General features: G+C 38.8%; 1 protein-coding gene across 15 annotated transcripts in view; it reads right to left on the bottom strand.

Annotated features, from left to right (window-relative positions):
* The window catches only part of ANKFN1 (ankyrin repeat and fibronectin type III domain containing 1), a 470,940-nt gene that overhangs the window by 16,204 nt on the left and 438,176 nt on the right, over positions 1–16,560 (bottom strand). For all 15 annotated transcript variants that reach the window (XM_047435502.1, XM_017024263.2, XM_011524430.3 and 12 more), the window contains 2 exons: positions 8,460–8,626; positions 1,715–1,931 (listed from right to left, as the gene is read on the bottom strand). In XM_047435502.1, the coding sequence (XP_047291458.1) occupies positions 1,715–1,931; positions 8,460–8,626 (384 nt within the window). The remainder of the gene's footprint in view (positions 1–1,714; positions 1,932–8,459; positions 8,627–16,560) is intronic.

The following is a 16,560-nucleotide window of genomic DNA, read 5'->3' as shown; positions in this document are numbered from 1 at the left end:
AGCCTGGCACATAGAGGGTGGCCAGTAAATATATAGTTTTTAAATAGAAAGAAAAGAATGAACAATGTTCTTAGATCCTGAGTTTCAGCCAAACTGCTTGCAATTCCCTAAACTACAAACAGTTGTACAATCTGCTTTCTCTGCCTATAATGCTCTTCTCTTTCCTGTTTTTCTGCTCAACTCCTGCTTATCCTTCATACCAGATTCTGTCATCTCCTCCAGGAGGCTCTCTTTGATCATAAGAGTTTAATACTGATAACTTCATAGCAGGTAGGCAATTACCAGGTAATTTTTTGTTAATATATCTGTTTCTCTTATTAGCCTAACTTCTGGCAGAGATGATATTTGATTTGTATCTCTAGCCCAGTGGCAGTCTATAAAAATGCACTCTAGAAACTCTACTTAAATATTTTGTTATTTGGTAAGTCATAGACTCCTTTGGTAATGTAAATTAGCTGTCTCCTAAGTTCTTCCACTTGCCAAGTTTTGACTTTACACATTGGAGTTTTAAAAATATAGGTGCAGACACAAACTTACTCATAGAAAAGGCTCAGATTCCCAGTAAAGTTTTCTATAATAAAAATAACATTAAATAGGGTATTGACAATATATTGTCTATTATATGACATGCATCATTGATATAGTTTACCTTATTCACAAGTAACTCTTCAAGGTATAGGTATTATTCTCATTTTACATACATGGAAACTGAGTGTCAGATGTAGTAATCTGTTCAAGCTCATACAGCTAGTAAAACAAAGCTGGGATTTGAATCCAGGTCTCTGATTTCTAAGTGCAAGCTCTTTCTGTTACACCATGCTGCCCCCTATGGGACAAATCCACAAATCAGGCCTATTTATTAAAAATATTATGAAGCTTACAAAATTGGAGCTCTTGCAAACTATAGAATCAAGAAAGATGCTTTGAATCGCCATTACTTTAATTGACTAGAAAATGGCACTAGCCTTAGCATGGCTAAGAGCTTTTTATTGCCTTTACCTAGTATGCTTTCTTTCTGCTTATAAGCATAGAGGTATTTTGTAGAAATTCATATTAACCCAGTCAGGTTTTTGCTGTTAGACTTCATACTCAAGGGTGGAGAGGTGCCTTGCTAGGTATCTTCTCCAGCTTGTTTAAAGTTCATTATGTCCATGATGAGGCCAAGCTACTTACATGGACTCAGTTTCAGGATTCTAGTTTATCCAAGGTTTCTCTCTTTCCCACCTTCCACTCTAGAACATTGTGCTATATGGATGGGAAGTTTTTCCCAAACTCTCACCCAGGTTTGGGCCTGTTTCCTGCCTCGTTCTTGTCAGATGCTATTTAATAGAGGTTGGGCCTGTTCTCTTTCCTTAGTTTGTCTTGCTCAGATTCCCTTGGCTTTTGTGGCCCTCACTTGGCATCACAGTGGTCCCCAGTCTGCATCTTTGAAGCTGTATCCCTGTTTTATATCCTTTTGCATCTTGTAAGTGTGACCTAGAACTGGAATGACTCTTCCCTGTCCCTAAATGGCATTGATCTTAGGTTACTGCTCTAGTTTTCCTATTCCTCTACTATTCTGATTTTGTTTCCTCTATGCTGTTAGACTCTTACCCCTGAGCAGTGTTTTCATCCACTTTCTGGAACCAATACCTCAGCATAAAAGTCCTCATCAGTGAAGAGAGGATCAAAAGTCCAGGGACTAAACAACAGAACTTCAGATCTCATTGCTTACCACTCACTGTCTTTCTTCTGTGCATCTCTGGGGATGGGGGTGGGGATGGAAGACAGTCTATATGTGATGATGATGTAGAATTGATCTTCTTTAGGCTCTGCTCATCTGAGGGGTCTATCAGCTTAGTGATGGGCAAGCCAGAAACTGGTTGTTTGTATCTTGCATACTGTAGAGCATCCATGATCCATCTCATTTCACGCCAGACTTCATCTATTTGCTTTGGAATAAAATGGTAAAAGACACTAAGTTATCAAGCAGTGATTAAAAAGGAATACATTTCCCTGAGAGTCCAAGATGATCCATTTTCCGCAATATTGGCTTTGAGCAAGAGTAAAATATTTTTAACATAGATTTGTTAAGCCAGAAAATACCTCTCTTTTTGTAATATTTTTTGTTTTGCGTATTTTTACCAGAGAAGCTCTGTCATTTAGTGAAAATAGTAGAAGACTTAGATGCTAGCTGGAATATATCACTTATTAGCACTATACTAACTCATAGCAAGTCACTTGACCTTTTTGAGCCTTAGTTGCTTTATTTGTAAAATGTGGCCAAAACATTTTCCATTTATACCTCCCAGGGTTGCTGGGATGATTAGTTGAAATAATGAATTCGAAAGTGCTTTGTGATGCCTCAGGGTACATTGCTCATACATATAAAGGGTTATTATATCCCAGATTATAATTAAATATTCCTCATTAAGATATTGTGAAGGCATATGATAAAGCCTGAATTTCAGAATATCTTAAGAAAGAAATGTAGTCCTAGTTCTTATATGTGAACTAGAAAAGCAAAGCTCTACTGGAATATTTTTGCTAAGTAGAGGTTTTTGGACCTATGTTAATAGAAAATAATTAACTTCATATATTAGACTTACTACTTTCTTACATATAGAGTAAGGGCTTCTAAAGTTCAAAACGGCCTTAACAGTTTAATCTTAAATAATTTAAACATCCTTACATTTCTAGAGTAGTCCATTTTAGGTTGTTCCATTTTGATTTTTGGGTTATCAAAGTCATTTTAATGATATTTTCATTATAAAGTACAATAGTAGTTTCCTTGAAGCCTATTTGCATAAAATTCACTCAGATTTTTGTGTCTCTCTGTATATATAGATGACGAAAGTTTTCCAGATCTTGATAGACATGGGCCATGAGCTTTTTTGTTATTCCATCTCAAGGAGGGGCTGTTGGTTAAACATATTTTTTCTTATGACCCTGGAATTTGTAGTAGGCTTTCTATTTAATTTCACTCGATGACTTGGGCAAGCCATTAACTTCTTGGGGCCCATTTACTCAACTGTAAGAAGAGGTAGTTAGTCTACATGATGCTTAAGTTCCCTTCCAGCTCTGAAACTTTAGGATTTATTTTTCAGGAACATTTGGAAATTTGGTATTACCTAACTTCCAGATAGAAGGTATTCATTATGTGAGTCATGCAAGGTTAATCTCTCTCTCTGATTGTGGAAGTTTTAAAACTAAAACACTACCCAGTGTTATATTTTATTTTCAAAATTTCTTGATAGGCCTTTAATCTGTACTTAAAACCTACTCATTAAGAATATCCACAAACCTGGTCCTCCCAACAAACACACAGTAGGTCTGACATTCAGTCCGCCAAGTTGAGTGAAAAGCTAGCTAGAGTGAACTAGTGAATGGCAGTGTATGGTCTTACAGCCGTTTTCCCCTGCTTTCTAGTTCTTGCCACTCCTGTGGTGACAAGACTCAGCAGAGTATTCAGGGCCAGTGATGAAAGCATGAGATTGAGCTTCAGGCTTTTTTAGCTTGGTCAGTTGGGCAGGAAGTTCAGCAGTAGGCAGGCCCATGAGGAGACACTAAGCCATTTTGAAGGGAGAAATCTAAAGTCTGGGGATAAAGCCAAAGTGGGAATCCCAGATGAGACTCAGATGAATTTTCCCAGTGAGATTGTTGTTCTCTCAGCTGGCTTTTACTGGCCCTACCTCATGCAACATAAGCTTGTTGAAAGTTATTTTAAAGGCACCGCATGACTGTGGATAGCTTTTAGAGTGCCCGACAAGGACAGGGATTGTGTTTTGGTATTTTTTTGCTTTCAGCTTTGCAGAGTAGGTATGTACTCAAAAAATGACTGTTTAATGAATGAATGAATGATCTAATTCTTTAGATCTCTACCCACAAACAGAGTTATTATAAGGATTAAGTAAGATAATATAGATAAGTGTACTTTATCAATTACATATTATAAAATTTTCAGTTTTTATAATGACAATCATGATTACTGTAGTGGGCTGAATATGGAACCCCCCATAATACATCCATATCTTAAGCTCCAGAACCTGTGAATATTATTTGATATGATACGAAGTAAATATTACTTTATATGGCAAAAGATATGATTAAGTTTAGGATTTTGAGAGGAGGCGTTTATCTTGGATTTTCTCTGTGGATCCTAATTCTAACAACAGATGTCCTCATAAGGACATTCTTATAAGAGTGAGGCAGAGGGAGATTTGTCAGACATAAGAGAAGGAGGCAACGTGAGTACAGAAAGAGTGAAATGATGTGGCCAGAAGTCAAGGAATGCTAACAGCCATCAGAAACTGAAGAGGCAGAGACTAGATTCTCCTCTAGAGCCTCCAGAGGGAGTGTGGCCTTGCCAACACTTTAATTTCAAACCTCTGGTCTCCAGAGCTGTGAGGGAATACATTTCTGTTATTTTAAGCCACCCAGTTTATGGGAATTTGTTACAGCAACCCTAGGAGGCCAATATAATTATTAATAAATAATCTACCTGCTCTCTTTGGATAAGATTGTTTCAGCTTTATTGCTGAGGATGAATAGAGGGATTTAGCGTAGAAATTTTTTTAAAAGTATGTAGAAACAATATTTACTTCTTAATTTTTCTCAGTGACGTGAAGAGGTCTTAACTGAAGAAAAAACTTAAAAACCATATGGGTATAGGGAGGCCTGTGGATTGAGTTTAATGAGACTTAGCTAATTGCTCCAAAAGAAGGCCAATTTTCACCCATTTTACCTTATACTGCTGATCTAAAAGTAACTGACAACATAATCCCCCTGATTTTAAGGTCCAAATTCACCTTCTAAAGACTTGCTGACACATTTTAAAAAAGAAAGACCATGAATTCCCTAGGTCTGTTGATTAAAAGTTATGCATCCATTTCTCACCCTGCCCCTTAAAAATTTCAGTTTTCATCTCGTAAATTATATTCCTTTCTCTTTACTCAGGCAAGATAATATTTTTATTAAAATGTAAAGGTGATTGGTTTTCTCACAGCACAGCTACAAGGTGCTCAAGGGGATGATAGATTGGCTATATTTAATGAGCTGTGTTTCTATTACAGCTTAGGAGCATTTGAAGCATTACAGTATATAAATTATAGCCTAATTGCCCTTTAGGCTTTAGCAGCTCAAAATATGCCAAGCTCCAGGTCTTCACACTTTGACATTTCTGCTGCATGTGCTGTCTATAAAGCCTGTATGCCTTATCTATGATTTTCTACACCTCCCGTGGCCCAGGCCTCCCCCTTTCTGGCCGCACTCCTTGGCTTCTTTTCCTAACTGTATTTACATAGACTCCCTTGCTCTTTACAATGTTTGGTTTGTGTAGTGACTTCAACACTGTCTTAGATCTGGAATCATACAAATGCTCTCACAACTGGCGGTCACTTCTGCAGGTTATGGTGTGTGGTGGGCTGAGCTGTGAACACCAATGGGTGAGTGGCTACAGCTGGTTTTCATTTTGAGAGACAGAGTGAGTGAGTGAGTGAGAGAGAGAGAGAGAGAGAGAGACCACAAAGTCAACATAAAGGGAGAGATGATATTGAATTGTCTCCACTCAGTGAAGTTATCCATGTTGGGAGAAGCAAGGTGGTTCATTGAAGGCTATGGGTGTAGGGAGATGGTCTTGTTTTACCCAGACCAAGAAGTTATATTTTGAACCCTTTGAGAATTGGCTTTTATCCAAGTCTGTGTGTACCTGGCTGACTGGAAGGGAAGTATGTAGAGAGGGCTCTCAAGTTACCTGCTTTGGGAGACCAGAGCGGGCTAGAACTTTGAAGAATTCCCAGCCTGGCCTGCCTTTATCCAACCCACTTAATGGTGTGACATAAAAGAAGAGAAAAAGGCAGTGGAGCCCTAGGCTACATGAAAAAGAAAGGAGCAAGGGTAGTAGTCAGGGAGTAGGAATAAAGCCAGGGAACTCTGGGAGGAGTTTGAGAACACAACAGACTGAAGAAAGTCAGCCTCCTTGTTGGAGGAACATACTGGATTCAGGGAGGCATAAGTGGAATAAGGCAGAAACAGAACCTAAGGCATGGGTAGAGAAGTGTTCCTCTAAAAATATCTCTGGTTGTTAAGTCATAAAACGTTAGAGCCAATTAGACCCACAGAAGTCATCTAGTCCAGTTCTTTCATTTTACATATGAGGAAATTGAGGTCCCCAGAGATCAAATGAATTGTCCAGTACTCCAGAGTTTATCAGAAGATTTGGGACTAAAAATGTGTGCTCCTTGACTTCTTTTTATTTTTTATTTTTATTTAATAGAGATGGAGTCTCACTGTGTTGCCCAGGCTGGTCTTGAACTTCTGGGCTCAAGAGATCCTACCATCTCAGCCTCCCAACCTCCTCTGGGACCAGCTTCTGATCTGTTGTTATTCTTACTATGCTCCACTATCCTTTATATGGGGTTCAAAAATGAGCCAGTCTTTCGTATTCTCCTCATGCTACACTCTTCCTTTTCCCACCCCTTCCCCACCATCTGTGTTCCATTTTTACTGGAAATGAAATCAATGAAGTAAATGTTTTGAATGTTTAAATTCTACATTCTCAGACCAATGGAGAAAGTAACTTCTTGAAAGTTCTTTCTCTATTCTGAGAGGTCACCTAAGATATCTCATTCACGGGATGAGGAAAGTAGGATAATCCTAAAGATTTTTCTGCTCTCCACTTTGCAAGTAAATTACAATATTTTCTTCCTGAGTGTTTCAAACACCTCGAATCTCACATATTCATATGTCAAAGAATTTCTCCTTCTTGTGAATGAATGAATATATAATGTATTACATACTTACTATGTGCCAGGCATTTTGCCGAGTGTTTTATATGTATTATCTCATTGAATTCTCTCAGTAACATTATGAGATAACCCTATTATTATCATCCCTATTTTACAGATGAGGAGATTGGGACTGTTGGGACTGAGAGAGATTTCTTTGCCCAAAGTTCACAGCGTTCGTTCATCTTAAGTCCTCATAACAAATTGTCTGGATAGTTATAATAGCTTCTTATTTGGTTTCTCTGCCTTTAGTCTTCTCAAATCCTTATTTGGTGAGCATGACCAATAAGAGTGAATGCTTATAATAAACAACCAGTATGGCTGTACCAATTATATGGGAAGAGTATCCTCACTGCTTGAATCTATCCTAAACAGAGTTTTGAGAGCCTGTGACTTAACTTTCTTCAAAACTTTGGGTAGCTCCCTACTGCCTACAGAAAAAAAGTACAGATTTCTTAACTATGGCTTTTAATAAAGCCCTTGTGATCTGCTATCATTGACATCTTTCCTTCTTGCCTAATTTCTACCTCTCATCACTCAATTTATGCCCCAACCAATCTTGACTATTTATCATTCCCCAAATACTATTTTTCTGCTCTGTCTGCCTCATCTGTTTATACTTTCTCTTTGAATGCTCTACATTCTGTTTCACCTTACTGTAATCTAACCTATCCTTGTAGGCCAGGCTATATATCAATTACATCCTTCATGGGAATGTTTCTGATACAAGTGAAAGTAAATTTTTACTTTCTTGTGCTGACACAAAACTTATTTGTTTGTTTGTTTGTTTTGCTTTGGTATATCTTTTTTTTGGCACCTAGCACATTTTACAAATTGTATTTACACACATTTCTTATCTACCCTGATGGATTTGAAACTCCTTAAGATCAGAGACCATGTCTAATTCAACTTTATGTCTCGCACACAGTGTCTGACACCTGGTTGTTTAATAAAGGTTTATCAAATTGAACTGAATATGTATCATAGTGATATTTATCATGGGGCTATTGCTATTCTACTCATTTTGTGAATTGAGTAACTGATGGACAGAAAGATTGAAAGATTTGGCTAAGGGATTCAGAGGCAATTTCAGGCCAGATCCAAATTCTCTTGATTACTAGTCAGTACCCCTTTCACAAGACCCTGAGGTGTTACCATAGGCTTTACCAGAAAAGACCATGGGAAGGGGAACACATTTTCTGATCTTAACAGCCACATATTAAAGTGTCAATTCTGTGAGAAAGAAGCCCAAAACATGAGGAATTTTAGTTCTAATTGGATCTGGGTTAACATAAACTGGTAGGTCATTTTATTTTCTTTTTCTCTGAGATATTGAATTAATTAATACAATTTTTCTTTCCATTAGAATTGTCAATGGGCTACAAGGTAAGAATAATATTCTAGTTACTGCTTCTGGGGGGTGATTTTTCTCTCCCGTATGGAAAGCTACCACTACCCACCATGGTGACTGATAACATTTCTTAGTAATATTGTGAATTATCTGTAACTTTTTCTTAAGGCTTTGTTTGAAAACTTATCTGCCTGAGCTCCACATTTTAACCAACTCAATAGGCAACTTACACACCGTGTTCTTTGAATCAGCCTGGACTGCTGTCCTTTCCCATGCTTGGCTTTTCACCCTTTCCACCCTGCCTCTTCTCCCTTCCTTTTACCCCAGAAGGAACAAACAATTACCTGAATGAAATCTAAAACTTGCTGGTGTCTTTGTTTGGCAGCTGCAACCTCGCTGTCTGAGATTGCTTCCCTGAGGGACTGTTGGGTGTTCAGAGAATCCAGCTCCACAACAGCAGAAAGGCGGCAATACAGACTAATAAATTTCTCTCTGTAGCTGCAAAAATGAACTGGAAAATGGACAAGCAAAATAAAACATGTTAAGATCTGGTATCAAAATAGAGAAATTCATACCTCAGAGAAAACAAGTTGAATGAAAACATGATTTATTAATCCTATCAGTGGAAAATATTAAGCCATAAATAAATTATAAATGTGCTCTTAAGGGGCCAGTTGTCTGGCTTTAGTCAGACAGTATTCCCTTTTAAGGTTTACCAACTCCTAGTAAGGTATGGGGAAGTGGGGTTGGCTAAAGCTGCAGTTATGTGGACTTTTCCCTAAAGTTGGGGCTGATTGAGTGTGTGTGTGTACACACACACATATACACACACATACTGGGAAAATAAGCTTGCTTATCACTTTAAAGAAAAAAAGCCAAGTAGCAATTTGAAACCTAGTTTTGGTTTTCATGTCTGATTTCCAGTACATATCTTGCCTACTCCTTTCCAAGGCCAGAACCCCCAGAAGACAGAAGACATGCTTTTCTCAGAGTGTCTTTGGTCTGACTACAAAACTTCCCCAAGGGCCTATTATGATAGGCTTTGATCCTCTTCTGCCTCTCCGCTTCTTGGCCCCTCTGGATGGATGATATGAGCTGTTGCTTGGACAGACCATTTCTTGTCTTCAGCAGACTTGGTTTTCTTCTCTCAACAGATAATTGGACAGATATCACAGGAAAGAGTCCAGCCTTCGTCTCCATCATTTCCTTTTTTCAGGAGGAACAGAGCAGTGTAGGATTGAGCCTGGTATAGGCAGCTTGAGATGGTCAGATTTCCTGTACTTCTCTGACCAGCTCTGATCTTATACCGTAACTTTGGATTCTAGTAGGATGAGGAAAGCACCCTGATTCAGACTATCATAGTACTGGTTTCTTCCAGGGCATTGATGAATTTGGAGACTCATTCTTCAAGAACCTCTTTTACTCTGTTTACCTCTGGCCTGTACCAGTGTGTTCCATGCTTTGGAAATAGGGCTGTTACAACCCAACAAGTCTGTTGAAACATTTTTATTCTGGCTTCTTTAGTGAGGAATTCTAGGAAGAACATCTAATTACAGGTAGTAATTACAGGTAGTAATTAGATGTTGATTCCTGAGACCCAGATCTGGCCATTTAGGGAAGCTAAAACCACACTACCTCAAAATGGGGCATTGGTCATCTCTACACCTCAATGAGGAAGCCCTACTTTTCTGCATATTGAGAGATTTTTGTCCACCCTACAATTCCCATGTTACCACTGGCTACTACTTCCTTGCTTTTTTTTCTCTGGGGATAAATCTTAGGTGAATGCCAGGGCAGTGTGCTCTGTCTTTCCTTCCATGGAAGTAGAAGAGAAGAATGGGGTGAGAGTGTGAGTGATCCATCCTTACTCCAGCTATGCCTCATTTCAAGGAGGTTTTTCTCAACTCAGGAGGCCTCTGTCCTGGTTTGATTTTTCTCTGTGGTGTCAGATCCTTCCTTCTCATCTTCTCTGCTCTGTTTAGCACTTTTTTTTGCCTGACACAGAGAACTGATTTCATATGCCCTCTCAGTAAATGACAAGCTATGGAGCTTCTCCCAAATGATCGAATTCTCATACTATTTCCCTGCTTAAAGACTTCTACAGAGCTCCCTCTGGACCTGAGGACAAAATCCAAACATCTCTCCATAAGGAAAACTCCCTGTGATCTAGGATTTGAGAATATTTTCAGTCATACCTTCCCTCATGCTGCCACCTTCCAGCCCTAGTTCCTCATCAACCCTAAGCTTTGGTCAAGCTGAACTTATTATGAGTCCTTTTATACTTCCATGCTTTGAAACATGCCTTTTCCTCCTCCTCACATACCTTTCTTTACTAATACCTCCAGGTCAACTTGTGATACTTGAAGATTCACGGTAAATGTTTTCTCCTCAGCAAAGTTTTCACTGACATCTCCCTGCCAGGTGGAACTAGTTTCTCCCTCTTTTGTGCTCCTAGAGCATTTGTTTCTAAACATTTCATGACACTTATCCTACTACATTGTACTTATGTGTTTACTTTACTGCCTTGGCATTAGATTGTGATTTCTTTGAGGGCAGGAACTATGCCTCCTATTAATTTTTATGTCCTTGAAACATGGAACATTGTAGCTTCTCAATTAAGGTTTATTGACCAAATGAATAAATAAATAAATGCATGAATGGATCTGAAGAGGCAGACCCTTCACCCGAAGGCTCCTCTTTTCTCCATTGTCTTTCCTTTACTGTGGGCTTGATTTTCCTGTTTGGAAAGGTGTTTCAGGTCTATAATATTTCCTGGCAGCTCCACAGGAAGGAATCTCAATGACTTTTTAGCTTACTCTTGACCCTAGTAGCTCCCTGAATGTGTCTTTATGCCTTTCAAGGAGGGATTATGTCCTGTTAGCACTTGACAGATGTCCTCTCTTGGCTGGAAAGTGACAAGAGTGAAGTGTCTCAAACCCTGCCTTTCTGAACCAAGAGGTAAAAAAAAAAAATTGTTTTTTTTCCCCTTTCTAAAATATGACTGGAAAAATAGGGAGAGGCACTGAATAACTTCTTTAAAAGAAACACTATCAGTCTGATCTGAATTCTTACAAGCCGGGGTGTTCACAGCTTTCTCTTGTTGTGTCCCTGTGGTGGGAGCCTGGATCAGTGGGTGGTCTCACAGCACCCACACTGTCCATGCCATGCACCACAAGTGAGTTATGAGGAGGTTTCAACTATAACGCTTCAGTTTCCCCGCTCTTGTGGTTTTTTTTTTTTTTTTTTTAAATCCAGACCCTTTAATGTTACTTTAACAAATGTTACTTTAACATAGTCTTTTGTGGTTTAGCAATGATACATTTGGTAGCCATAACTGAGGCAAGAAAGACAGACTGGAAGCTTCTAATTTTTAAAAATGTGAATCTCATGCATTTTACGGATAAAATGGTATAAGGCTACAATAATGTCATTAGCTGGACCACATGATTTGTTAATAATTCACAGACTAAGACTAATTTTCTATGGTATTTTTCTCCCTCTTTTTTCTACATAAGATAGTGGCAGACTAACATAAGGTTGGCATCAACACTAGGAATATAGTACAGTGGAAAGTACATGGGCTTAGCCATCTGACGGACCTGGGTTTGAACCATACTTCTGCCACTCACCACCTGTGTGACAGTGGGCACGTGACCTCTGGGAGTCTCACTTTTCTCATCTCTAACACAGGGATTATAATGCCTACCTAGGATTAAGTAATACAATGTATATAAAGTGCCCAGCACAGCATATGGCACATACCTGATACAAAATAAATGTTTGTCCTTCTGCCACACCTTTTTACTACCCTGAAAGAATGAGGCATTTAGTGGTAGTGATTAGAATATTAGAACAGGACTGGAATTAAAATATTCTTCCTAAGGATATCTAACTCACTAAAATCCTAATCAGTCTGGGCCATGTGGCCTAGTTTGGAAGCCAAGGAATCAACAAGATAACCTCCTGGGGTCCATTTAGTTCAATGAGTCTTTGCCAAGGTGTCAGAAAGAACTGGGGCACAAGGTGCCCCTCTAAAGATTCCTAGTAGTGAATGAGTTGACAGGTGGAATAAAGGAATGATCTCTTAAATCATGTAAAATGGGTATTAGGGATGAAGGTTGACACTATGCCATTTCTTGCAAGCCTGTGGCCTGGATTTCATTAGGCTCACTGCCTAGATATTCCATAGGTTCCTCAAAACTCATCATTTGTCATACTGACCTCACCATCACTCCCCTGCCCTAAACCTGTTCCTCCTTCCTATGGCCCATTTCAGTAGACGGTAACATTATCCGTCTCGGCACTCTTATTCAGACTCTCTGGCTCCTTCATCTTGCTCTTCAACCACATCCAATCAATCACAAAGTTCCATCATTTTAACTCCTAAATTCCTCATCTCTCTGCTCTCTCTTCTATACCCCCACCAAGGCTGCCTTGGTTTGGACTCATGGACCTGTGAGATATGACCAGGTGGACCCATGAGGTAGTCTCTTAATTGTTTAATTGTCTCATGATATCCAGTGTCAGCCTGATTTATTTGTTTTTTACTCTCTTGCAATCAGTCCTCCATGAGCTGTCAAAATCTAATAAGACCACATCATCCCTTTTCTTAAAATCTTTTCTTTGCTTCCTATTGCCTACGGGATAAAGTCATACCCTCTTAGTGTTATATAAGTAGCCATGTATGATTTTGATCTTTTAAACTTTTAGCTTCATCCTCTGTCACTTTTCCTCAGATGCCTTAAGCATCCATCACAATGAGCTATTAAGAGTGTACTTAATCAGGCTGCAGGTCTCTGAGCTTTTGTACATACTGTCCCTTCTGCTTAAAATGTTTTCCTTTTCTGCCTGCCTTTTCTTTCCCATTCTGAATGTCTGTTTATCCTTCAAGATACAGCTCAAGTATTATCTCTGTAAGGAAGAATTAGATGTCTTTCCTTTGAAACTCAATAGCCTGCCTCTTATAGGAGTGCTTTCGTTTTATGAAGAATATCGGTAGGGATACCTGTATCCTCTAATGGATTTTGAGCTTGTGATGGGCAGATGGTGCCTTATTAATGTCTGTATGGTTCAGTCCCAGCACAGTACCTGGCATATAGCAGAAGCTCAGTAAATGAAATATATACCAGGCCTCAAACTATTATTTTTTAAAATTCCCTAGTTTTTTTTTTTGTCTTTCTAGTCCAATTGGTTTAAATCATAAAGCCAAGGAAATCAACAAAGGCCAACTTTCCTTGTCATAGGCCGGCTGTCAGTTGTGAGCACCCACAAGGTCAGGGCAGGGTGACCTCCTCTGTGCAGGCTAGGCAAGTCCTCAAGGGGCCACGTCACCTGATAAAGTTTCTAAGGGCTCATGATGCTGCTTTTCCTTCTGTTCCTGGGAACTTTGTAAATAGTAATGCTTGTAGGACCCCAGGAACATGCTTTATTATTGCAAAGGGGTCCTATCCTGCTCCCACCCAAAGGATGGTAGAGTGTCAACCTTCAGGCTGTGGAAAGAGGAGTGGATTTTTGGTGAATTCATTTTGCCCCAGCTCAGTCTTCCTCAACCTGATCTCATAACATCCTCCAATAGGACAATTTATCTTGACCCCACAAGTAATCCTGTGAAGGAATAGCCTGTGGGTTTGCTACAGTCTAGACCTTATTCCAGGAGACAGAGAACTAAGCTCCTTTATCATTTTGTCTTTGCTAGATCTATGCAGTGCTGGAATAGGCACAGATGCAGTTTCCATAGCTGGTTAGCAAGTTATTTATGATTCACTTAGGCCACTGGCAGGAACAAGGTCAGTTTGCCAAATCTCAAATTCTTTCATGGGGACAGGGATGACTTATACAAGTCAAACTGAAATATAGTGCAATGCTTTATTCTATTATAATTTACATATTCCCATAATTCACACCTTTTTAAGTTTCATTAGAATTCCCATGTGGTTATTAAAATTTTCTGAGTTCTGACTGAATTTCCAAAAACATTCTCTCCTTTCTCAGAAATGCTTAGTGTATCTCTTGACCCTTTACTATGTAACTACCTATGAATAGAATTTCCTACTTATAGAAAAAAATAATGCTTAGCATCCTTCTTAGAGAGGCTTAGGACCACTGTAGCAGGCCCTTGGAAGTTCCTATATAAGGTGTCATTAAATGCTTAGTGGCCAGATGCCTGATGGAGGAAGTAGTTATGATAAACTTCCTCTTGGAAAGCTCTGATTGCTTGGGGATAAGATGGAGTTTGTCATGATTCTTATTGAGACCAAGGCCCAGAAGTGTTTTTGAAATTGTTGCTGGTGGTGCTCAAGTACAATAATCATTGTATTAGAGAGTGTATTAATTTTCTGCTACTGGCAACATTTCCTCCGGTCCCTAAAAAAAGACTAATAGAATTGTTTATGCCAATGGAACCGAGCCCAACCAAGTGGTCTTTTCTGGAAACTTACATGGTCCTCATTAATCAGTTGGATTACCAATGATATGGCAACAAGGGAGGACCAAGAAGGTGAGAAAGTATGTCTTACTCTAGGAAAAAACCATCTTAAAGTCAGGCTTTGATCTATGGCCTATTTTTCATAGATGAAAGAAAGTATCTGATGCTCTCATATTGCTTCTAGCAATGTGAAGAGGTAAAACAGGTAAAAAGGACAGGCACAGTTGAATTTGCCTGAATTCCTTTGTTAACCACATCTCTAGTTTTGTATTTATGTATTAATCTCTTTGTCATAGGCAATACTACTTAAATTGTAGTCCATGGATTAGCAGCATTAGTATTACCTGAGAACTTACTAGAAATGTAAATTTTCCAGCCTCCTGCTGGACCTACTGACTCAGCATCTCTGGGGTTGGGCTCCAAGAATCTGTATTTTAACAAACTCTCCAAGTGATTCTTATGCAGGTTAAAATTTGAGAAGCACTGTTCTAGGGCTATCACATCCCAAAGTATATGTTCTATGGATTATTAATAGGTCCCATGAAAAACATTGCTCTAGTCATCGTCAAATGAATTTGGAAAATGCTGGGTTAAACAAAGTTGAGCTTTAAAAAAATTATTTTTAAAATTTTTTATTTTTTAGGGGGATGACCACTGGATTTTGCAGAGCCTTTCATACGTTACTCTACCACTCAAAATCCTTCATTGGATTTCCAACATACTTAAAGTAAAAATTCCTTAACATGGCCTGTGAGGCCCTGCATGGTCTAGCTCCCATGACTCTCTGACCTCATCTCCTATCTTTCTTGCTTTTGCTTACTATGCTCCAGATATGCTGATCTCTTAGCCAAGCACACTCTTACTCTAAGGCCTTTGCACTTACTGTTCTCATTGCCTGGAAATATTAGGTCTCTGCTCAAATGTTTCTTCTTCAGAGACCTTCCCAGATCACCCAGCTGTATAAAGTGCAGCTTACTTCACTTGAGTCCCTTAGCCAGATTTATTTTCCTTCATGACCTTCACTTCTCTGATATTTACAATATTATGGTTTATTGATTGGTTTGTTATTTGTCCCTTCCACTGGAATGTAAGCTCTTTGAGAATTTTTTTCATTGTTGATTCTTCAGTGCCTGGAATAGTGCCTGGCACATAGTAGGTTACTCAATGAATATTTATTGATGAATGAATGAAAAACTGAATCAAGAAAAGAAATGGATGCTAACAGACTTCACCAAATTATAGAATGAAGAAAAATAACAGTGGGACAAAGGGTGGCTACTCAAGAAGAGTGTGTGAGTCTCACAGAAACAGGCTAGAGAGGATATTTGCATGGCTTGGACCTTCAGGGCCTTAGGAGTCACGTATATTATAACGATTGATACCAAGTTGTAGATTGTCCCCACCAAAGCCATTGAGGCATGGGGAAATGAATTTCATGTATTTTTGCCTGTAATCATGGAATAACAATGACTGTTTAACACAGAATGGAATCCTGGTTAGCTCTCCAGTGAAATGTTTTCTTTAATTCTTTTCTCTGTCAATTATATATCCCTGGGAAATCATTCATTTTCATGGCTTCAGCTGTTATTAATAGACACTGGACAGATCTCTGTGTTTAGTATCCAATTTCTCTCCTGCGTTTCTACTGCCAGTGAAACATGTCCACTTGGATGTTGACTTAGCACCTTCAGTCTCAACATATTCAAAGCTAAAAGCATCACTTCCTTCAGCAAACCATTTTTTCCCCTCTGATTTCCTTACTTCTGATAAAGGGAGCAATAGCCTCATAGTCATTGAAGCTGAAAACAATGAGAGTATTCTTTAGACTTCTCCCTTTCTCATTTAAATAGTTACCTACTTTGGGGCAACTTTTCTTTTTTTTCAAATATCTGTATTTCTTTCTTTTTTTTTCTTCTTATTTTCGTTCCTACCCTAACACTGGATGAATAAAATAATCTTTGAAGTTTTTGACCTCTGCTTCCCATCTGTCATAAACAGATTTCTCAGCCTGATGCTGGAGA

Source organism: Homo sapiens, chromosome 17, assembly GCF_000001405.40.
Source record: "Homo sapiens chromosome 17, GRCh38.p14 Primary Assembly".
Lineage (NCBI taxonomy): Eukaryota > Metazoa > Chordata > Mammalia > Primates > Hominidae > Homo > Homo sapiens.
The sequence above is the reverse complement of the archived record's forward strand: the minus strand, read 5'-3'. Positions and strand labels throughout refer to the sequence as shown.